Source organism: Homo sapiens, chromosome 14, assembly GCF_000001405.40.
Source record: "Homo sapiens chromosome 14, GRCh38.p14 Primary Assembly".
NCBI lineage: Eukaryota > Metazoa > Chordata > Mammalia > Primates > Hominidae > Homo > Homo sapiens.
Genome location: NC_000014.9, coordinates 36,832,040 through 36,857,200, shown reverse-complemented (window position 1 = coordinate 36,857,200; position 25,161 = coordinate 36,832,040). Strand labels below are relative to the sequence as shown.

Genomic DNA, 25,161 nt, shown 5'->3' with positions numbered 1-25,161 from the left:
CTAAGAAATGCTGGAGACCCAAACCCAGGCACACCAGACCCCAGGTCTAAGATAAAGCATGTCTTAGGCTTTAAACACAACAAATTTCCATTAAAATAAAAACAGGACTTTATTCCATTTGGCTACTAGAGTGTATTCTAGAGTCAAACAGTGGTAAATGTGAAAAGGCCCATGGAAATATGAGGGCTGTAAAAATCATTGCAGAAAAAGATGCCAAGCATTGTTTGCAGGAATTAAATGTCCTTTTGCACCAGCAGTGAGCTTCCTTGGATAGCACAGCAGACAAGGTTCCCAAATTACATGAAAAGAAAGCAAGCCAGATATTCATGTCAACCATAGCTCTCATTCGTTCTTTCCATCTGACTGCATGTTTTCTATGTGGGATGTGCTTCCAGGCTCCATAGATCTGTCTCCTTCATGCCCCTCCACCCCACAATCAAGCCCAGTTCCTGCCTCATTCAGATTCTAGCAGAATTGCTCAATGGATAGCCCTTGCGTGCCGGCCTCTGCTATACCAGCAACGTGCCAGGGCGGGTGGAGCTTCCACACATCACTCACACATGTGTCTGGCACAGCCCTAACTAGCTTCTCTCCAGGGTGATGCCAGTGGCCCCCTTTCCACTGGCCTCTCGCAGTCTAAAGAGGAAGCAGTCAGTGGGAGATCATCAAGCATTCTCTGGTGTCTTGGCTTTGGCCAACCCCAAGTGGGGTTGTCCTCCCCAGTGCCCACTCGCAGAATGAGCAGTCTCCAGAATCACCATTACTCCTCCTCCCTTACAAGCCATGTCTGAGCTACTGGGACTTAATGCTCGAGATCCAGATCAGGACTGGCCTGACCGCTTTGGAATCAAAGAATGAGGTCAGGATAGAAACAATATACAGAAAGACAAGCTCGAGAGAGGGAGAGCAAACAAAGCCCGCAGTTCCTGGTTAGGGTCATAAAGCGCCTACTTCCTTTACGGACCAACAATAAACAGAGTCAGTCACCAATCAGTAAACATTCCTGCCTCAGGAGCGAGGATTTGTGTTCAAAGACACCAGATTGGATGCCGACTTCCCCACCCTGCTTTTCCCTTCCCCCAGTGTAATGGAGATCCTCCTAAAAAATACCTCTTTCTTGGTAAGGTTAACCAGGGTTTCTCAACCTCGACTCTATTGACACTTTGGTCCAGATAATTCTTTGTTGCAAGGCCCTGTCTGCAGCACTGTAGACTGTTTTAGCAGGATCTAAGGCCTCTACTCACTAGATGCCAATAATACCTTCCTTTCAGTGTGACAACTGAAAATGCCTCCAGACATTGCCGAATACCCGCCTGGGAAACAAAACCACCCTTCACCCCTGTTGAGAACCACTGGGTTAAGGGAAGGAACTGTTCGAGGCATACGTATTGATATGTGACAAATGTCATAAATATTAGTGAGGCATCAGAATATGATATCATAACCCAGAGGATATAGTGCTGTATTTAGAGAGTTGCTCCACACATGGGGAGACCTGTGATTCTCAAACTTGAGCGTGTATCAGAATAACCAGGAGGGCTAGTTAAAACCCAGATTGCTGAGCCCCACCCCACAGTTGCTCATACTGTTAGTTCAGGGTGGAGACCAACGATTTGCATTTGGGATATGATGATGCTGATGCTGGAAGTACTGAAAACCACTGGACTGGATCTTTCTGGATTGGTACTTGCCCCACCAATGGTGAGGAAGCCACAGATGAGGAAGGTGTATTGTTGTAAGCCTTCTCCCTCCCCTCCTTAATTTTCTGCATCTGTGTCTATCCTCTTCGCTACCCAATATCCAGTGTCATTGCCTCTTTTTCTCAGGATACCCCTGAGGCTGCCTCCCACTTTGATTTTTTCTCCTCAGGAGAGACCCTGAACTTTTCCTACTACTTGGCCCCTCTCAAACTTTGTGTTTGGCTGATTGCTCCTCAGGCCCATTTCCTAGTCCTGAATTAACCCATGCCTAAGCGTCAGGAAGTCCTTACAGGGTACTCAGCTTCTCGGTGCTTGTTAATCCTCCTTGGAGTTCTCAGAACAAACTACCAAGCCATGGCATGCCAAGGGGTGGCTTGTCCAACAGGGAAGAGCACATTACTTTACTGACATTGTTCAGAATTATCAGATTGTGATGATAATATAATGCAAACTGATGCTTATTATTTTTTAAAAATTTTTCACAGACAGTGCAGCCCCTTATTGCCTCCACCTTGGGCAAACTGCTGCCACCACTCCAATTCCAAGGATGGCAGAATACCCCCCCCCACCTCATGCCCCAGAAAAGAACAAAAGACACCAATTACCCTCCTACACTGCAGCTTTCTGTACACTGTCAGTCTCTTAGCAGGTGTCATCTGAACTGTATGACCATCCCTGGTTTCCTTTTGTTGATAATATCGAGTCCAGACTTTTTAGAATGACATACAAGGCCTTTCATATAGGATCCCAACCAGTCTTTTCCAGAATCCGCAATATCTGCTAAGTCTAACACACTTTCATTCTATCTACACCAGACTACCATTTATTATTTCCCAAGCACAACTTGTAAAAACACATCATAGTGATAATGGTAATAAAAATCACTAGCAACTACCTTCTCGAGCATTTGCTGTGTCTATGCATTGTTCTTTACCATATTGTCTACTTTAATCTTTCTAACAAGCCCATGTAGGAAATACTAGTATTATCTCCATTGAACAGATGAGGAAACTGAAATTTGAAGAGTTCAAGAAATGAGAAAGGAGAGAGCCAGAATTCAAATACAAGCAGTTAACATCTATTACACTACTTGTGTTTGCTACAATTACTCTCACCTAGCTCCATCTGGGGAAAAGTCTCTCATCCTTCAAGGCCCAACTCGACTATAACTATTTCTGTGAATCCTCTTCTATATCTTCAGAGTGAATCAACAATTCATTTCTCTGACATTGTTTAAAACTCTGTGTGTATGTGTCTATAATGTATTAATATATCATATGCACGTTTTACATTTTGATGTTAGGTTTTTATGGTTCCCTCTGTTAAAATGTGAGATCATGTCGCATTTATATTTGCACTCCCAGTATCTGGCACTGTGCCTGGTATCAAATAGATATTCTGTAGGTGGTAACTGAATGAATAAGTGAGGGAGGGAGTGAAGGAATGATCTATCCCAACTTTAAATATTGCTTTAAATGTACACAGGTCACATGGATCTACTAGTTGTCAAACCTGAATTAAAATTAACACTTAAACATATACTTCTGGTTTCTATAGTTTAAAAGATTTTCACCCTACCTACTTTTATATAGAAGGGGGAAAAATAAGAGACTAGATGGACTGTGCTCTCTAATCCAAGTGGAACAAAAGCACTGGATGCATAATGCAGCAGTGTTTGTTGGAGGGTCTCAGAGGACAGAGGCCTCTAAATAAATAGGGTGTTGGCTGATGAAAGTCCCAGGGGTCAGACCATTAAAAAGCTGTGGCATTTGTCGCTGGTCCAGCAGAACCAAGACTAGCCAAGTTGGAGCAGTTGCAGCCGTCAAAACATGTTTTTCTGTATAACCAACTATTTAGTAGAGTAAGCGCATGTTTACATGTCCAAATGGGCTGAGGAGAGGGCCTCTTGGGTGTGAGAGAGCAGCCAGGCCACTCACAGGAACGGGGAGCTGATGACCCGGGCTGGTAGCAGGAGTCCTGGGAGGTGAGGCAATCAAGCTGGTCCTGGGTCTGCCTAGCAGCTTAGGAAATGATTTCTAGAAGTTAGAAACAAATGCTCAGATTAAAAAAGCAGAGTGTGTCTTAGCAACCATACTCCTATGTGAGAGAGAGCTTGAGCATTTGTTTATAAGAGGTTGACAAATTGCAGTAGTGTAGTGTTATGATGAGAAGCGTTCAGACAATCTGCTGTAAAATGCTTTACTTAAGTACAGCATTCACTGGGGCAGCTCCTCTGATTTTGCAACTTTAGGATTGTCCTTGGGAGATGTCAGTGGAAGCATGGCCCTGCCAAAACACTTATCTAGCATATGTGATTCATATCTTATCATTACAGTCTTCAAATGAACAATTTAATTATCCCATTTCCCCCTTGAACAGTTGTTGTTTTGGTCTTAGTGCCAAATTCCTTAGTAATATTCTGTTTTATTTTGGCTACTGAGACAAGCTTATAGTGCAAGTATTTTGCAAGCACTCCTGGTTTTCACAATAAGAATGTAATGTCACAACTTATTACCAGGGACATAAGTTCTAGCAGATTTTAAATGTTCCTGTTTCGGTGCATGGAAGCAATTTGATTCCATTTCACATTTATGATATTTATTATATTCAAATTCAGTATATTAAGTTTCTACGTAAAATTTTAGTAGTGTTTCCTGTATGGCTTTTAAATATATATATTTAAACCTAAATATGGTCAGCTGTGTGTTTGTCTTGGAACTATTAGAGTAACACTTTTCTTGACCAAAATTTTAAGTATTGTGCCTAACATGTGATGGTAGACTCCAAAGAATACCATGACCAAGCTCTAAACACATGCTCACACATAAACACACACTCACACATACACACACGCCAATAAGAATTTTTGATTACATGAAGGTACACTTCATTTTTCTAACCTTTTATAATTTTGTGAAAATTACATATTTCACACTATATATTACTTTCTGGTCCTTGAAATGAGTGGAATCTAGTTCCGTAGGCTAAGAACTATAATTATACTTTCAGCTGTGATAGCCACATAATGCCTAGGAATTCCATTGACATTTTAATATGCTGTCACTTTAAGATACAACATGAAGTGTGAACAGGGCACAGGACACTTTAACCAGGTGTGTCTAATTGTTCTGTTCCCCCTCAGCCCCCAAATAGCAATGGTATAGTTAAGAAAAGATGTAGAATCCAGGAAGCAGGTTTAGAGGCTAAAGTAAACTTACCAGGTTCACTTTTGCTGGCTGGTGGAAACAGATCAGACTATGCTGTTGTTCTCTGTGTAGGTAGGTGGTTTTGCATTTTGGCTATGCCTTTTTCTTGTTAGGTCTTTCCTGCTCCATGCAATAAAGAAAATGATACATAGAATGCTCATTTGGATCAGAAAGGGTATGTTCCCAGTACTTTTTGGATTTGAAGTTAAAGACTACAACTGCAAAAATAATCATAAGATTGGGGATGGAAGTATGTAGATTAATTATATTATTTTAAAAATAATGTAATGGTGTTTTCATTAACTCTTCCAGATGTTTAATATGATTGATACCCTTCCAGAGTCCCATGTTCATTAGTTAGAAATTAGAAAAACCTCCTTAAAGTAGCTGATCTGTCCCAGCAAAAGACTTTTTTGAATGTGTTCATATACTGTCAAGCAAGCAAGCAAGCAAACATCAGTGTGTATCAAGCAACCTTTCATAGGGTTCTGGGGATTAGCAATTCAGTGAAAATGCTTAACTACTCATTTGGAGAACACACATTAAAATTTAAGTCTTTAAAACAGACAAACAAAAAAACAGGAGACCCAACATTTTGAATACCCAGACATTATGCCATTGAGAGTAATAGTTTGCAGTTTTTCTAATCCCCATTTTTTGTGTAGCTTATTGTCAATTTATTTTATAAGCAGCCACATTCAATTGATTAATTCTCCCAACACCTGGATATAACATTTTGTTACCAAGCATATTATGTTATTCATAAAAATAGTCTGCCTTATCCCAAGCTAACAGGTGTCCCTGCTCCTTAAAATGACAAAGGTTGGAGCTATTGAATATTCCAAGGTGACTTGTGTTTCTGGGTTCCTAAATTCTTGCTGCCTGATTATAGAAACTCATGTGTATCAACTTGTTAGCCAGCATCTTGTTAAGGTAAAGGAATTCTGATCAATTTTCTCAGAATTGTCTCCAGCTGTGCAGGTTTCCGTCCTCGGTTGAACAGGAGCTCACCAAACTCTCCCTTAATTGCTTGGCTCTTTTTCTTCAGCCACTGAAATTAGGTGTGATTGGGCCCCAACAAATCATGTGACACATATGGCTCCCAGGTTATCTTACATACTTTATTTTGGGCATAAAAAAATACCAAGTTTAGTTAACTATTAGTGACTCCAGCATCTGAAGCCTATTCATAACAATAATATTTTCCTTTAAATAGAGATACCAAGCAATTCCCTGCACAGAGCATACAGTGTACTTTAAAATCTTGAATTGTATCGCTTAAACAGGCAGACTGTAGAATGTCATAATCTTTAGTGACCATTTCCAGGACTAACATTTGCAGTAGAGGAAAAGAATAGGTAGAAGAAAGGACTCTCTGTTGCCAGCCGTGGTCCCTGTGTGCACTCCCTATATTATGCATTAAGTCTGAATTTCTAGTAGTGAATGATGGGGTTGGACGGAGCATAATCAAGACCAAAATATTGCTTCTTAAATAGATGCTGAATCCCTGCTCTTCTTGGCTGGATAGTGTTAAAATTCATTTGGAGACTTTAGTCAGGCTTTCGTGCCCTGTGCTACAGATCAAGAGATCTGTAGATCTTAGATGCTGGTAGAGTAGAGGTAATATGGAGAAAATAACATGTTATAACATGTAATGGACTATCAACTACTTTTCCAGGATGGTTACAATGCTGGTGAACATCATTTTTGAAAGACTGAAAGAAAAGACAGTCAAATCTGAGGTCTGATTAAGTGACTTTCTGGGATCATAAGCCTTTTTTCTAAGAGACCATGGATGGGACCTTTCTTTTACCTTCTTGCCCTGCTTTCTATACCTGGCAAGCTAGTGTGTATAAAAAAAAATTTTAGCTTTGGAGCAAAACGAGCCTGGGTTTGAATCCTGATTCAGTGTGACTTGACTGATCTCCAGTTTTCTAACCTGTAAAATGGAAGTCATATCTACCTCATAGAATAGTTTTATCACATACTATTATATATGTAAAGTGCCCTGCAACTTCTGGCAAAGAGTCAATTATTGGTTGCAATGATTACTTCTTTGCAAATATGAATTGATATGATTGGAAGCATGTATGAAAAGCTTGTTTGCTCTACCTCACTCCTTCCCCTTTCCCATGGCCAACTCTTCATCCTTTAGGTCTCCCTTTATACATCTCTTCCTCTGGAAGGGATGCTACTATATGCACCCCATCCCTAAATTTTCTCTTATCACAGCACTTCACACACAAAGTATTGCCAATTACCTGTTCACTTACCTGTATCCACATGACAAGACAGTCTGTGACTGAAGAAGCTGTACCTCCTTCACTTGATCCCCAGGGACTGACACATAGCTGGAGAACGATAAAGATTTGAATAGGCATATTAATTAATTAATTAATTAACAGTGAGTTAATGAGTAACTAAAAGTAAGTAAAGAAATTCATTTTTAGAAGTCAAAGTCCTAGATTCTGAAAACTTAAGTGAGCAAGATGAGAGGTTCTAATGAATTCATTACAGTTCTAGCATGAGTTTTAGCAGGAAATAAGCAGTGGGTAACTGATTTTCAAGGGCCACCAGAGATCTAGATAGACTGTCTCAAATATTGGCACAGCTTCAAGCTTTAGAAATGGCATTTCTATCTAATTTCACCTTGTCTTACTAAAGAGTTATTAGCTAAGCATTTTGTGTCTGATAGACAATTCAGAAATTTGTATTTCATTGAATCGAACTATGAAAGGAAATAAGTTCTTTCTTTTCCCTTGAGGAGGGTTTCGGTAAAATAATTTATGTCAACTGGAGTTAGATTGTTTTGAATTTTTCTCAGACTAGTAGTGATAGTTTTTGTTCATTATGAAACATAAATATATAAGCCCTTTTCATCAGGATTTTTTCCTTAACATCGGATTTGTTGAATCAGGGTGTCATTTCACAAACGTGTAATTCATTCCTCTGCTGTCCAAAAAGTACTCAATATGGAAGTGTTTCATAAAATCATCCCCCAAAGTCCTCTTCGTATCAAGCGAAAGGGGAACAAATACAGATGGGCATATAGGACAGGAAGAAATCAGAGGAGAGTTATCTAGGGATGTACCCCAAGCAGCCCATAGCAAACTCAAACTCCCACATTTTATTTTTAAAGTGTGTTTTAATGTTAAATCACATGCCATAAGATATCAATTTTTGTACTTACCTCAAACTTTTGAATATATTAGAAGCTCCAAGAATCTTTACCACCTTGATTTTACAACTTTGCAGATCCCCTGTACTCCTTAGTTGGACAACACAGAATTAAGAGAATATCCTGGAAAGTTTACCATGAATCATCTGGGCCTGCACTAATAGGGCGAGAGATGGAAAGTCAGAATTTTATCAGGTTGCAAAAACAACTCCTCAAAAAACCCAAACTTAGACCAAAACAGAGTGGATTTTAGCACATGAGATTCCAGACAGCCTGATTTAACTTAATTCCACAGTTTATTAATCTCTTAATATGTGAACAGGAAATGAGGTTCTGCTTGAAACCACCATCCCCTTATCAATTATTAAATAAGTCATTGCCAAAGAAATGTAATTTGAAATATGTAATGGATCTTCCTAGGCACAAGACTAGTATTAATTTCCATTCACAGATATATTTTATAAGGCAGAGAAATCTGCTGATCATTTAGGGATAAGAATGGCTTTACTGCATTTCTACCGAGAGTAGATGAGACCCTGCTCTGGGCCAAACTCCATTTTGGGGAATTGCATTCCACAAACCTAAATGCTGCGAAGAGTTCCGTGGAGAATCTGCGTCCTCCCTCTTGCTCAGTCCCTGTTGCAGAGTGCTGCTGACAGCTGTTGGACAGCTGAGGCAATTCACCTCCAAAGTTGCATAATTTGGAAAGTGCTTTGGGATCCATTTGGTTGAAAGGTTGTTAATTATGATGATTTATGACACTGGAAACAAATCTGAGCCTTGACAGTATGGAGAATATACATAACGTATAATTCTTTTGCCTGTCCCATTGGAAAGTCCCTAAGTACAAATGTTTTTAAAAATCTTGTTGTGCCTTATGAATAGGTTCCACAGTTGTGTAAGACAGAGTATCATTGACTTTTGAGTTAGGGTGATAACCTAAAAAGAGAACATCTAGAGGCTGATGGGTAATACTTAGCAGCACCTTATGATTATCCCAATTCGTGGTGTTTTTCTCCACCTGGTTCTCTCCACCCTGACTTTTCCCTCCCCCTCACTGCACACATCTGTTGGTCACCACGCCATTCGGGGTTTCCCAAATCTGCCTTCTCATCCCCACTGCCCTTGCCTCTGTTCAGTGTGTATCACCTCTTCCTTAGGGCCCCCCTTCCACTGTTGGTCTATATTCAAGCCCAGCCTTCATACCGCTTCCAGAGTTACTTTCCTGAAATTATCAATGAAACAAAGTAAAAGGCTGAGTGTTCACTTACTCCCATGCCTAGAAACATCCTGTACAAATGTCCAACTTCCTTTGCAAGGCTGCAGGCAGCCCTTCTTACAACTCCAGTCTTTCCCACCTCATAGCTGTTTACCCCCAGGCACCCTCTGCTGCAGCCACAGTGACCTTCTCACCTTTTCCCCAAACATGGCACGCCCTTCTCAAATTCTAGGAACCTTTGAACATAGAAATCCACCTCCCAGAGGGTCCTCTCTCACCTTCTCTGCCTGGCAAACACCTCCTCATCTTTCAACGCTCCTCAGATATCACCTCCTCTGCCTGGCTCTCCCAGGCAGAATAAGGTGATTGTGGCGTTTATCACAGTGTGTGACATTCTTCTGTTTTCATGTCTATTTCCCCTACTAGACTGTAGCTTGCAAAGGCAGGAACTATGACATATTCATTTTAGCCTCCTCAGTAGACAGTTGCTTCTAAAAAATGAACCAATGACTGTTAGGGCCAGTAACTGCCAAATAACCTAGTTTTAGGCTGTAGACATTGAAAAATGTTTACATCTCTGATGGCTGGGTATTTTAATGGAATTATCTAATTCACCTGAAAAAAATAATTCTAAACATCTGTTTACTCACCCATTCAACCATGCATTCATTCACTGTCTGATGTTATGGTATATAGACCTAAATTTCTTAACCAAAACTCTTGGGGACAGATATGTTTCAGAATTCAGATATTTTGTATTTTTAAAAAGTAATATGGTGCACTCATCATGTATGTTACAAAAGACCCCAACAGCATCTGGGGCAGCATCCCATAATCAATAATTCTGCGGCTAGACGTATAAACATTCACATTGAGTAGAATAAAGACTACAAGTAGGCCACGCTTCTTTTCAGGTAAGCTTTTGCCACCAAATGAGTCTTCCACAAACTTAGGAGAAAATCATAGTTTTGGAAGTTTTTTGAGTGTTTGGATTTGGGAATTGTGGAAAGAGACTAAGACCCGTGTACATTATTTGCCTGCTTGTTTGTTGTTCATCTCCTTCCATGGAATGCAAACTGAGTGGGCCACAGACCTTGTCTTGTTCACTCCTGTGTCACCAGGACTAGACCTGTGTCTGACATTTGCTATATATTCAACACACTTTTGTTGAATGGATGGATGGACAGATATGTAAATTAAAAGTCTGGTTTGCTGTGGCAGGGCACAGTAGCTCATGCCTGTAATTCCAGCACTTTGGGAGGCTGAAGCAGGTGGATCACCTGAGGTTGGGAGTTCAAGACCAGCCTGGCCAACATGGTGGAACCCTGTCTCTACTAAAAATACAAAAATTGGCTGGGTGTGGTGGCAGGCACCTGTAATCCCAGCTACTTGGGAGGCTGAGGCAGGAGAATCGCCTGAACCCAGGAGGTGGAGGTTGCAGTGAGCCGAGATCACAGCATTGCACTCTAGCCTGGGCGACAAGAGCAAAACTGAAAAAAAAAGTCTGGCTTGCTATAGAAATAATCTGAATAATGGAAATGATGATGGGTTTCTAAGCATTTATTTTTTTCATAGACTGTAGATTCTTATGGATCAGGGATATCAATACGTTGTTCTGGTCATATCTCATTCTCTCATGCTTCGTATAGAGTTAGTCAAGGCTATCTCATATAAGGAATTATAGATTCTTTCTCAACTAGAAAGTAGAAGTTTTAATTTTTTAAGAAAATTATAATTCCTTCTAGAAAGTTCACTAAGTTGCAAGGCGAAGTAATGTGGTTTGGGGGTTTAAATGTAAACACTATCAGTCACTCTTCACTGGAGCTCTGGGTATAAAGGAGCAAATAAATATCCTAATCACCATGTTTTAGAAATATATTACCTTACACTCTGGTTTACTATCCATGTCCAGTGCTGAACTATAAACTTTTATTTCCCTCAAACAAACCCCCAAACATTTATCGCATTAAAAATGAATCATCTGTTACACTCCAACCGTAAACTGAATAATAAACAGAGGCAGGAATTATGATCTCTGGAAAACTGGAGAAGCGCCAGTGTGCGATCACAAGATCCCACCCCATAAATCTTCAAATCCATATTTACATTGAATTCCCAGACTTGCCTGTCAAGAGTATGTCTAAAATCCCAGCTAATTGTTTTAAAAGAACAGATGGAAGCTGATAGCAAGTCCTATTTGTTGAAAGAAGAATTTGAGGCAAAAATGATAGTTTGTCCATCAATTGGATCATATTCATCTACAGAAATGGTATTTGAAATAGTTCGAATTAAGACTTTTTAAAATGTGGAAATGTTCTTTGCATTCCTGAAAATCCCAGTGCCTCATGCAATACTTGGCACATTTTACACATCTGCTGTGTGTAAGTAAGAACTTTTTTAGAGTATGACTTGACTTATGGCATCTAAGTCTGTGTATGAGGTTACTGGCATATCATTTCTACTGTATTTTACAATGAATCTCAAGGATATAAAGTGTGCATTGTGCATGAAAATAGCATTTGATCTTTGTATCTTTCAATCCAGTTTTTTCACATGCTCTGAACATACTTTTTTTCAGAAATCCATCAATTTCTATATTGTTATCCTATGCAATTAGAATAGTCATATTTTAAAATTAATATTTAAAAATCCATGCCTAATTCTTCAGGAGAGGTGAATTTTTCCAGGGTGAGTTTTAGTTAAATTGTTAGCCTGCCTTACATATATGTGCCCCCAGAAAAATGGAGAAGCTACTTTGCAGCCTGGCTTTATACCGTGTTACATGATGGCAGTAGGTCAACTCTGACATGGCGTTGAAAGAAAGTTACTTTTGCAGATAATTAATGAAATGCAGCACAAAGCATGCCATCACCTAATAAAAACATCAGTTTGCAAGAAATGTTTACTGCCCTTTTCAAAAACTTCCCCTTGGATTTTGGCATATGGAATATTACATTTCATGTACGCCTCTGGCTTCCCACGCAGCTTGAGAGTTCTTGCTGTGTCCCAGCTAAAGGAGAGATTCTGTAAGGAAACTATTAGCCCTTGGCCAGTCTCTCAGGCTCATGATTAAAAATGACCAGCATTCATTAAACTTTATTACTGAGCTGCATGAAGTTTCTTTGGATTAGGATCCGGCATGACCCTCTGTCCAGATTTTCGAATGGTGCTGAAGCTTTTCATTAACCTGGAAGCCTTCTATTTACATGGTTCACAGCCTGGTCTCAGCTCACTTGGAGGTAACAAAGGGTGTTGGGACAGGAGGGCAGTGGGGGGTCCCACTCCTCTAAGGCTTCCATCTGAGTCTGATCAGGTCAACATTTTAACTCCTGCCTCATTAGGTAAAATAAAATGGAAATGATTGAGTGCCCAGGGAATCATGTTTCAGATTTGTCTTTTTTTCCTTCCTCATACCTCACCTTCTCTGGATAATCCAGTTTTATGTGACCTGGTTTGCTGGATTCTCCCCTTGTGTGCTGCTAGCACTGCTGGTACTCACTTGTGCCCAGCTTCCAGCAAGGGCAGGGGAAGGGAACAGCAGTGAGTCTGTGCCAGCACGTTACCAGGAGTGGGAGCAAATTGTCAGACAATTTCACTCTTATTTCTGTAATTGAAGGGGAGCTGTAAATTAGGTAGGATGTGTTCTTACAGTGTGACAAGAAAATGAATGCTGAGTAAATTGTTACTAACCTGATTAATGCTGGATTAGCATGCTCATAAATTAGATGCCTTTGAAACAGCTGACTTTAGTACTGTAGCGTGTTAAAGTCTGCCTATATGCCCACCTAAACTGAGACAGGCTGGCTTCGTGCCTCCTAATGTGACACACTGAAAAGTGCACACATCACCTAACACAATTTTTTATCTTTCAACACACAAAATGGTAAGGAAGCATTTTGGGGGGTCACATTCAAATGTGGGGGATTTTATACATAACTGATCTGCATTCTTCAAACAGGTCAATGTCTTGAAAGACAACAGGTTAGGGATCTCTCTGACATGAAGAGATACTAGAGAGATATGACAGTTGAATGCAACATGTTGCACTGGATGCAAAAAACAAACTACAAAGCACGTTTATTGGGACAATTGGGGAAATTTGGATGTGTACTGAACATTAGGTAAATTACTGTGTACCAATGCTAATTTTGTGAATGAAATGATAGCATTTCATCAATTTCGTGAATGAAGTGACAACATTTGGTAATGTTGGTTAATGTCTTTACTCTTAGGAGACATGGTGAAGTATTTAGGATGAGGTGTCATGATGTCTTCAACTTAGTTTCAAGTGATTCAGCAAAATATTGTCATGTTATGTATCTGTATGTATTGATAGATATACAGAGTGAGAAAGAGGAAGAGAAAAATGCATGGCAAATGTTAAAAATTGATGACTCTAGATGAGTTTTATAAATGAGATTTATAATATTTACCTTGTAGGACTGTTTTAATAACAAAATAGAAATAAGGTAGGTGAAGTGAATACACTGACTAGCTACCTACCTGATTAGGATCCTCCCCCTGAATTGTCAGCTGTCATGCATGTCCTTGCTTGACAATGGACTTTTTTAACCAAGGATTTCTGTATTATATTAGCCAGGCTCCAACCCATTGCCAAATATATCTTCTGGCAATCCAGTTTCTTCCCTCTCTGGCACGATGGAGAAGACTGAATCTCATGCATCTGTCCCCTCACTCAGGGGTCCCCAAACCCTGGGCCAGGGAGCAGTACTGGTCTGTGGCCTGTTAGGAACTAGGCTGTACAGCAGGAGATGAGCAGCAGGTGAATGAGCATTACCACCTGAGCTGTATCTCCTGTCAGATCAGCAGTGGCATTATATTCTCATAGGAGCATGAACCCTATTGTGAACTGTGCTTGTGAGGGATCTAGGTTGCACGCTGCTTATGAGACTCTAACTAATGCTTGATGATCTGAGATGGAACAGTTTTATCCTGAAACCCTCCTGCCCCTTCCCACCCTCCACCCCATCCATATGAAAAATTGTCTTCCACGAAATCAGTCTCTGGTGCCACAAAGTTTTGGGACCGCTGCCATAGACACATCCTCCTGCCTCCCCAGTCTGAGTTTCCACTTCTGTGGCACCAGGATGAGAGTGCCATGTGGGTGTTCCCTTTGAAATGCCATCATGTCTTTCTACCCAGTTTTCAGACCTTCCCTACTCTCTCTTTTTCCTGCTTATATCAAAGGTGGTGATCTTCTCCTGTCTTTATGGCACCTTACATTCAAGTCTCCTTCTTTATTGGCACCAATATAAGTTAGAAATTGTTGTTTAACTGCAAATAATAGGCAACTCACCTCCTTCACAAATAAACCAGGAGTTTAGTTCTGTAGTATCATTTGAGACCCAAGCTCCTTCCGTCTTATGGCTTCTGTAGCCTTTGTGACTTTGCAAAGTCACTTCATGGTGCAAAATAGCTGCCAGAACTCCACCTATACATCCAGCTTCCAGGCAGGAAGTACAAGGAAGGCAGGCAGGGCAAAAAGAACATGTCTCTCAGCTGAATCAGCCCCTCTAAAGTCATCTCTTGGAAGGCTCACCTAATTATTTCTGCGAGGACCTCATCAAGTTACAAAGAAGGTTGAGAAATGTAGCATTTTTCCCTGGGGCATATCATTGCCCCAGGTAAAATCAGGGAATTGGTTAGGCAGAAGAGGAGAAAGAAAATTGGAAAGCAATTAAGAATCTATGTGCTAGCGTCTGTTAGTTTATCATTGAATCAGATGTCTATTGTGTACAGATGCTGGGCTGGGGGAATACATAAACAAATAGGACACATCTCCCACACTGCCTCATCCACTGTGAGCTTACAGTTAATTTAAGGAGGCAAACCACGTGGAAACATGGGAAGAGAATTTAGCACTAATCTAGATGGAACTTAGAGAAGCAAGGGGACCAAAATCTTCAGGTAAGGTTTCTGGCTTTGCATAAGATTTAGATTTAGTTTTGGTAAAAAGAATTTTCCAAGAGGCAGAAACAGCACAAATAAAGCACAGAGGAAGAAATGAGCAGGGTAGTCTGCAGGTGAGTGCCTTGGCCTCACTTGCCTGCACAGGGAGTATGGGTTGGAGGAGAGCTAACATGATAGTTGCAATGGGGACAGATTTTGGAGGTTGTTGAGCCCACGGCACGTGTTTGGCCTTGATGGGCTAGGCAATAGGGAACCACCGTACGTTCTTGGGCAAGGTATGCATAGGCGGAAGTGGCACACCAGGAAGACTATTGATAGCACACAGGAGTAAGTCAAGAGGCTGGAGTCAACCAATGAGCACAGCTGTGAATTAATGCAGATCCTGTGTTAGGAAATCAGTGAAAGTGGAGAGGAAATGTCAAATCTGAAAGATGTTTGAAAGGAAGATCAATGGGTGATAATCGAGCAATGAAAAGAAAGGGGAAAAAAATGCAGGAGGATTCGGAGGTTTCTAGCCTGGCAGACTAAGTGGAGCCTTGGCCTCAAGGTAAGAGTTGTGAATTCTGGAGGACTGTGTACATTTGAGGAAGAACTCTAAAGAACGGATAGAAGAGATACATGTAATAAAAGTTGTAAGCAATTCTTATAGAATTGGAAGCTCCAGATTTATTTCTACTGTGTTGAGACCTGAATTATATACTTTTGTGTTTAGCTCTGTGTATTTTTCAGTTGGAACATACTTGGTAGATTTTTTTAAAAGAGGATAATGTCTTAATGAGACAGACAACTGATGTTTTTGAAATCCTTACACACTACATGTAATCGACAAACTAAGGGCATGTTGATACTTCAGTTATACTCCAAGAAACTCAAGGCTATCTGGGTTGATTTGTCATAAAAGGAGAAAAGGAAATTTCATTTACTCAAAATTTCAAAAAGAAAAATAATTAACATTTATTTAGTGCCTGATTTATGGCAGACATATTGCTGTACATATTTTTATTCTGTCCTTCAGCTTAGACTCAGAGTGGGTAGGCAGTGTTCTTGGTTACAGAGCTAAGTGGTAGAACCAGCATTAAAACCCTGAAAAACAAATATAGCAGCTGCCGCTCTTTTCCGTGATGTCCCATGCATTCTTATTTCTTCCTCCCTTCCTTCTGACTCGTCGGATATCAGAGCTATTGAAAAGTTATTCATCTACAAATTTTGGAAGTCACAAATTACTGAAATTTAGAAAGACTAAGAAGCTTGTGTGTTACATGATTCCATTTTATAATATTAAACGGGAAAACTTTTAGATAGCAACATTTGGTTGTTCAAAGCCTAGTCTAAGGAAATCGATGTTATCAAGCCATTTGAAGGATGATACATTTTAAGAAAGTTTGTATGAGTGAAGTCTGTCCAAAACAAACTGATTCTTCTGCTCTCATTAGTGAGACTAGTAAGGAATTTGTTCAGGTTACCCATTTGGGGGAAACGTTTTTGTTTTTGTTTTAATGATGTTGAGAAAACTGAAACCTTTGGTAGATAAAAGATAATTCCGACTAGGAATAACATAACAGTTATTTTGCTGCAGAAACAATTCATTCAAAAGATAAGGACAAATATATTTGTGGTTGAAATAAACTCTTCTTTTTGTTTTCAATTGGAAAAAGTCTCTTCCCTCTACTCACACTGAAGGCTTGACTCATATGAGTTTTTCCCAATGACACCTTTGATAATTATTTGATAAAAATAATACTGTTTAAAAAAAAAAACCTCGCTTTTATTCTTAACCATAGTTCAGTTTTACTCTGAGATATGATAATGAAGCCTATCAAAGAATGTTCTCCGGGAGTTAGTTCCGTGAGCTCTGGTTTCCCTGTGGAAGGCCACCTGTGTGCTGCTGCTGTGGGAGAATGTAGGGCTTGAGTCATCTCTTTCCCCTCAAGCTGCCATCCATTTCTCACCAACTTTTGACCACCTCCCAGAAGTGAGCTACAGTCATGCAATGTTTTGGTCAAAGACTAACCACTTATACAATGGTGGTCCCATGAGATTATAATACTATATTTTTACTGTTTCTTTCCATGTTTATATATTTAGATACACAGATACTTACCATTGTGTTACAATTGCCTACAATATCCAGCAGTAACATGCTGAATAGGTTTGTAGCCTAGGAGCCATAGGCTATTCCCTATAGCATAGATGTGCAGTAGGCTCTACCATCATGGTTTGTGTAATTACATTCTAAAATGTGTGTGCAATGAAGAAATTGCCTATTGATGCATTTCACAGAACATGTCCCCATCATTAAGTAACATGACTGCAGATAAGCCTTGATCTCCAAGATACACATCTCCTTTTGTGTTGGAACCTTTTCTGCAAATTGTACTTGTCTCCATTTGACTGGATTCAAAGCCAGATTGAGAAAGTAGTTTCAGATATGTCAAAATAATTTTTTAGAGCAAGAGTGTCACTTAATGCTATAGTGTGGCGTTTTACTAAATCGAACTATAGGAAAGTTAATTTAGTCCCTTTTGCCCAATATTTCAGTTACTGAGATGATTTAACAGTCAAAATAAAGTCCATTACTTAAATGAAACTGGTATGTTCACAGTTCTGTGTTCACTAGAAACAATACCCACCTTATAGTAGATATTGAATGAATGTTTCTTAATTGCCCCCTAGAATATACAAATGCAAATGTTACTTGCTTCTGAAATTTGGTTTCAGAGATGAGTTAAGTGTGTTAATCCTATGAGGATTTCTAATACAATTTGTCACTATTATTTGAATGAGAGTCTGTCATAATTGACTGTAAATGCACTTTAATTACATTTTAATAACCTTCATATGGAAAATGGTAAATAATTGTAAGTAAGTCATCTTGGATAAACTTCCAGTGACTCCTTTAAAAGAAACATCAAATAAAAATAGAGTAAATGTAGTAGATAGTAATTATGTAGATTAAAGAACTTCATTCAGCTAAATGCTTTTTGGCAGGTTGTGGAATGCACACTCCACATTAATTGGGGTGTTGAACAAGATAATGATACTAACCTTGTAACAACTTGAAATTTCCATTAAGAGGCTGGTAGATGTACTGGCATCATGTACTTAACCAACTAAAATTCTTATTAAGGGAGAAAGGTGTGTTTCTACTGGCGACTACTAAGAAATAATTAAGACTTTCCACTCCATAACTGTAAAGGGAAGCATCATTTCACGTTACCATGAACAGAAATATTGGCGAATGTGCCAAGTAGTAGCTCTGTGATACTGTAGCCTAGACTTCAGGCAAAGCAATGTCATAATCAACATTTCCCCCACTCCCTGCCTCCACAAAATTCACTTTTTCCTGTCTCTAACGTTGATTTTCTGTAGCCCAGGCCATCTTTCTGGCATCCTGTTCTGCATACCCCAGGCATATTAGCTCAAGTAGGCTATGGCTTGGCAGGAACAGACCATGAAGTCACATTCTGTAAGTCCATATTGCAGTCCCAATTTATTTAGCAAAAGATACACAATCTTAGTAGAAGCTAGGTGGTCACACACAGGAAAAGCAGGTGCAGTGTGTCCCAGTGTGCTTCACAAAGACCCCAATAGGACTAGGTAGCTGCCAGCACTGGTGTTTGAGAAGGTGTCGTGCTGTACTACAGCTCTTTTATAAAGTGTGCTTATTTCACTCTTCCAGACGAAGGCAGAAAATATGTACAGACATGTGACCCCTCTGTTCTCTAGCTGAACTCCATATCAGCAAGCCCGTATCCTCACACCGAGGAGAAAGCCGAGTGAGGCCCTGGCAGCCGTGTGCACTGTGCCTGCCTCTGGCCAGCCCCATTTCCTTACGTTTCACCTCCTGACTCTGACTCAGTTCCCTTCATGATTGACCTGGGTGTTTCCGGTACAAGATTCAAGGACCATGACCATGAAAGCACTTGCCCACATCAGTCTTCCACAGGGAAGGTGCAGCAAACCTGTAGCTATAATCACTTCCACGGGCTCTGTGGTGATGACTTGGTTCCTGGTGCTGATGTTAAGTGTGGAGTCCATCTTCAGACCCTGCTGTCCCGGCACTGGGAGGTAGAGTCAGTAATGGACACTGGATCACAGGACTGGAGAGCTCATTCACCAGTAAAAGTAAAGGGGCAAGACAGCAACAAGGCAAAGTCTGAGATCATGGGAGTGGGAAGTCTTTCAGTGTGAGGAGTTTGAGCGTTAGCTATACAAGTGAGTTGTAGGAGTGTAGTATGGTGTTGAGAGAGTCAAGGAACTGCAAAGCCAAGGTGTCATTGCTTCCTTGAGCTCTCCAATCCCAGCCTAGGTCAGCCCTACTTACTCCAGCTGTAGCCATTGCTCGCCAAGCCTGCATCACTGACTGGACATGGCCCCACAGCCCTCAAGGACTCCAGGGCCTGTTCTCTGGCAGCATCACCAGGCTTTCAACCTCAGTGTCACCCATCACCTAACCTCTTGTCCTCACAATTGTTGCTCCTCCCCTGGCCTTCCTCTCTGTGCTCTGTATTGGCAAAGCGACCCTAAACGCAGCCCCTTCTTGGAATCCCCTCTGCTTGGTCTTGCCCTGGTCCCCTCTCGTGTGTGTGCCGCACTTCCTCTGCACTGTTCGGCAGGCTTGCCCTTCACCTCCTCCTTCTCCTGGTGCTCCACTCCCTTCTCACTGCACTTGGGTCTCAGTCTGGACACCCCCTTGGCCCTTTCAGTAACATTTAGCCCCAGCTCAGTGTTCTCCAGTCTCCTTGCATCTTGGCAAAACCTGTCATTAATTTCTTGGTGAGTCCCCACCTCACTCCCCACCGTGGCTTCTCTAGGTTTCCTTCCCACCACAGCCTCCAGCCACACACCTTCCCATCACTCTGCAGGTGGCATGCCTTCCTGTCTACTAAGGAAACTGGGGACATATGACACCATTTTCTTAAAATTCCTCAACTCTGGCTCAAAGTCTGTGTTCCTTCTCTTGTTTTTCTTTAGTCTTGCCTTTAAAGAGGGTGTATCCGGTCTCTTTTCTAAGATGAGTCCCTCCTAATCCTACTCCTCTATAATTTACTTTATCTCTTCTTCCCCTTCAGTTTTTCCTCTGATCTGATTTTCTCCTCTAACTACAAATATATTCATCTCCTGCATCTCTTAGAACAAAACCAAAAAGAAAAACTTTCTGTTAATTCCCCCTTGTTATCTTGCCATTGCCTTTCTTCCCTTTTCTTAACTACAAACTTTTTGATGAAGAATGCTACATTTACTGCCTATATCCATTTTCTCTGCCACCTGCTCATTTTCTTACCTAGGTACCCTGATGCCTACCTCCACCATTCTACTGAAACTGCCTTCTCAACCGTGGGCTCATGGAGTGCCTCAGTGTTGCAGAGCCCAGAGATCAACACTCACATCCATCCACCTTTGTTACATAATGCTTCCATGTTAGCTATCAACACGTTTAAGTACAGAGCAATAGACTTTATTAGTCTGATAATATACCTGAAATGTAAAGACACCATGGGCTCAATTCTAAAGGCTTCAAGCTGACAAGAAAAACCTTGAATTTATAAAAGCATTATTTACGCATCACAAGACAGTATTTTGAACAGAAGTGCACTAATATATCATAAGAAAACTATATTTTGCTTTCCTATAAGATTCCTGGTTTGAACCATGTTGGGTTGTAGCAAATGCCAATGATTTCCTGACTAGTCTACATTTTCTCCACCTGCTGCTTATTAGCAAGCAACAGAAGTAGCTGTTCTCACTTGGGCAGCAGTTTGGCCACTCAATAGCAGTACAGCTTTTTAAGAGCACTCCCGTTTTATACTTAACACTTCCGAATTATAACTTCCTAGATAACCAGGCCGCATATTCTTCATACCTGTTAAATTATCTTTGCCCCACACTGTACGGTGGAGTCAGGAGGGAGATTGCCAAATGGAAATACTAGGTAGATTCAGTTTTGACAATAGTAGCTGACTGTTCACTCAGCGAAAGATATTTGGTCCAACTCTGGAGGGGAGCCAAAGGTAAGAAGAATGAAAATAAGACAAGTGGCTGGGTACCATATTTGAAGGAAGACAATGGTGAGTGCCACTCAGGAAAGAGGGTCCACCCCACAGGAAAGGATCTACTTTTGGTCATGTAGGAGAAGCTGGCCCTCTGAGAAGGAAGATGGAGAAAAAGCCAGCAGATTTGCCATCCTTGAACATACCTATTATTTTAGGAAAAATCTGTTGAGGACAGGATATATTTATCTGAAATATAAGAAATCTCTCTGAACATGTTATATTTTCACAAATGCTAAGTCATTAAGTTCTTATTTAGAAGATATTAGGGTCCTTGTGTGTTTGTAAAAAATGAATTGTATCCTTTGTGTTTTGGGGAGAGTGCCTCTTCTGTGGGCTAAACGTTTGTGTTAAGACTTCCTTACCTTTTGGCTTTGTGGCCATTTAGAGGCTTTATGACCAATGAAAGGTTTCTGCAGCCCAGGCAGGGGCCCTAGGGAGATAAAATGCCTTGTGTGTCCCTGCAGGAGGTCCAGCTCTCTCAGACAAGTTTAATAGCCATTCATGCACTGAGAAGATCTTATCTCGTGTCCTATTGGTTCAGGGTCACTTGCTGGCTCACATTATATTGAAATGTGGGCAGAGAGAGGGAGTAATTTGTTAATGTCATGTAGGATGAACTTGGTTAGAAAGGGAAGTGTACCCACTTTATAATAACACAAGTGTTTCCTTGCTAATCCCTTGGCAGGTTCATTATCTGTGCAGCCTCAGGCAATGGTTAGCCTATCGTGAAAGTGAAATTTAACCCTCAGCATGAAATTAATCCTCAAAGACTTATGTCTGCTCAGTCTAGAAATAATACATTCTAAGTGATTTTATAATCCCTGACTCTTTCTTTATGCATGGGTGCTAAATTGTTATCGAGATGTTATAGACCATGCTAGGAAATTGATTTTTGTTTACTTTAGAAAACTGGACAAATCTATAAGAACAAAAAGTCTGATTTCCCAGTTCACATTTGCAGTTGTAAACCCAACATGGTGGGATGACTATTTTTTAGGCATTAATAGGGTTACCATTTGTTGGTGATCATACTTGTGTTTATGCTATTCTTTACCTAATATATCTAGGAAAAGATTTTTTTTTAATGTCACTTGACAAAAAGGCCCTTTCGTTGATCTCATTGACATTTGACATGGAAAAACTGGGAAGCACCATGAGAATGTCAAACCAGTGTGAATGGCTCCTTGTAGAGTCAGAAAACCTTTAACAAGAGTAAAAGGAAGTGAGGCTGTGTCCCTTTTCCTGTTTCACAAGACAGGGCTTTATTCTTAGCCTTTTCTTGTATCTTTATTTCCAAAGTGTAAGGGCAGTTGGGAGGGAGAAGTGGGGAGAGAGGTCAGGATTGAGAAAGGTGTGGAAGGAAGCCAATATTTACTGAGAAATCAACGTACCAAGGTACCAAGTATTTTATACACATTATCTCATTTAATCCTCATTGCAAATGGCAAAGTAGGTATCATTTTTTCAGATAAAGAAACAGAAAGGCTTAAATCTCCTGCCCAAGTTCATGCAGTAGGTAGGTGGCATAGCCAGGATTTGAACCCAGGTCTGTCTGACTCCAAAGCCTTTTTATTTCTACCATATTCCAGAACTTAATCCTAAGAAAAGATAAAAAGATGCGAAAAAGCAACAAAAACCTTGCCTGATCGAAAGTCAGTTTTCCCTCCAATATACAAGAGGTCTTTGCAGTTTACCTAGTTGCAGTTTAGAATATTAGTGATCTTCTTGCTAATCGTGTTTTATTTATGTGCATCATGATGACTTATTTTTACTATATTCTTAGGTTGCTATTATTTCCCTTTGCTGCACTATTACAAAATTAATCCACACCTTCACTTATAGCGTTTTAAAAGATGGTTGTGAGACAAATGACCAAAAGGTCCAAAGGTAGGGGATAGGTGTACGCTAGAATTTACAGAATTTTTTAGTTCTAGATATTTCAAAGAAATCAAGAGTCTCCTGAATTTAGGCAATATATCTTATTTTCTGTTTTAATCCAGCCCATGCACATTTCTTAGATGTCTGCCTACTGCTTTGCTGTCTACCTGACACAAGTTTAAGTAATTTTTCAATAGGGGAAGTTGGACTTTTAGAAGAAGCACAGCTGTACCCGCATATATCCTTACCTTGTCAAATCCCTTATCAAATTTGCATTCCAGATTTTGGTGTTCTCATGGCTGACCTATTGTAACATTCTTTTTACTATTGCTTCCTGTTGGTGGGACATAACCTGTCCCTGTACTAGGAGAGGAAATTAAATTGGTCTGGCACAATTTTCTCCTCACAGAGCCAAGTTCAGTAGAAGCCAGTGCCCTTTCCTAAGTAGATACACATCAACTATTTGATAATTTACTCTTATTTTGGCCTGTTATTTAGGTACTTACTTCTGTTTGAGTCTACAGGTACATTTTTTCTAAACTTCTACAACATTATTCCTAAGCGTTTAAAGATCACAAGTTTAGTTCTTAGAAAAAGGTTATCAGCCCTGACTGAGGTATACATCTCTCCTTTTAAAGCTCTCTAACAAGGCCCTTTTCTGTGCTGGTTGAACTTCCCCTCTACCCAGGGAGCACCTTGCTCACTGCCCCAGAAGCTGCCTTCCTGGCATCACAAGGGAACTGCTTCAAATTAGTTTTCTCCATTTAACCCCATCTATTCTATCGTCCATCAACTCAGTTGGTATATCCTATGTCCTCTAAGCGTTTATTTATTTTCTCTCTGTGTGTATATATATAGAATTTATTTTAATAGTGCTGTGTATTTACTTTGAATTCCCTTCTCATTACCTCTGATTTTTAAACTTCCTTGTGTATCCTCTTTTTGGTATCCTTAATGCCTGATATAGCTTGCTATGCACTTTATAGATAGACTGAAAATTTAACCATAATGAACTTCTGTGGAAGTTTTACCTCTTAATGAAATCCAGGTTTTTTTTCCAATTTTAAGCAAAATGAAATTATTTAAATGCTGATAAACAATGAGAATTTATTTTAATGAAGTACAAATAGAATCTGATACAATATTCTTTATTGCTTAATCACAAAAAAGGGTGGAATCCACTTTGTTTTCTGAGATTTGTTTGGGTCATTATAGAGAGTGCTAAAAGATGTCCCTTTGAAGTGATAATTTTCACAAGGGTAGAAACAGTCATTTATAGTGTTTAAAAAATAATCTTAAAAAGGCATAAAGCTGCAAACAGGCAATAAAATTTTGTTGCAAAGTAGATTCTTTTGAGTACCCAAGAATGTCTTCCTGTTGGCATTTGTTTATAATGTTGTTTGTTTTTCTAGTTACTTCCAAATCATCAGCCTGCAGAAAGCATGAAAAGGTGTAATAACCACACTTCAGATTCATTAAATTAATATGGAATATTATGGAAAATTGTTCTAACTCTTGAAAATCCCTCTACAACTATAAAAGTGCAAAAAAGATTGTCCCTGCTGTTTTAGTCAGGCCCGTGAGCCTCAAAGCAATAGGATATTTATGAGAAAATTCCAGACATTGCAGTGCTGCCATGATCCATACGACCCAAACTTTCCAGTTTTTGTCTCTTGTCCTGTCTAGGGAAAAACAAAGAGGCATAAAATTTATATGGGAAGATCTCAAATCATTGTTATAACTCATAACTCATTATAATGAAGATATATATATATATTATTTTGTAGAATCATTAGGTTGATTTGGAAGAAAAACATACTTTTTGATTTCCACTATACTCTGGTGGTGATTTTCAAGTCACTGTCTCTTTCCACAAACAGCTCCAGCTTCTCTCTGGTACTGTCCTGAGAAACCGGCCATTTCTGTTTTCCACTGAAGGATTTGGTTTTCTTTAAGACTACACTGACAGTCCCTTATGTTTGGAAGATTCTATTTC

General features: G+C 39.9%; 1 protein-coding gene and 1 long non-coding RNA gene across 5 annotated transcripts in view; one reads left to right on the top strand and one right to left on the bottom strand.

Annotated features, from left to right (window-relative positions):
- SLC25A21 (solute carrier family 25 member 21) overlaps window positions 1–25,161 on the top strand; it is a 494,686-nt gene that overhangs the window by 315,406 nt on the left and 154,119 nt on the right. The window lies entirely within an intron of this gene.
- On the bottom strand, window positions 4,896–8,259 carry LOC107984668 (uncharacterized). Its single transcript, XR_001750716.2, has 3 exons — window positions 8,097–8,259; window positions 7,180–7,257; window positions 4,896–5,026 (listed from the first exon to the last, which is right to left on the bottom strand). It is a non-coding gene; the product is annotated as an uncharacterized LOC107984668 (long non-coding RNA).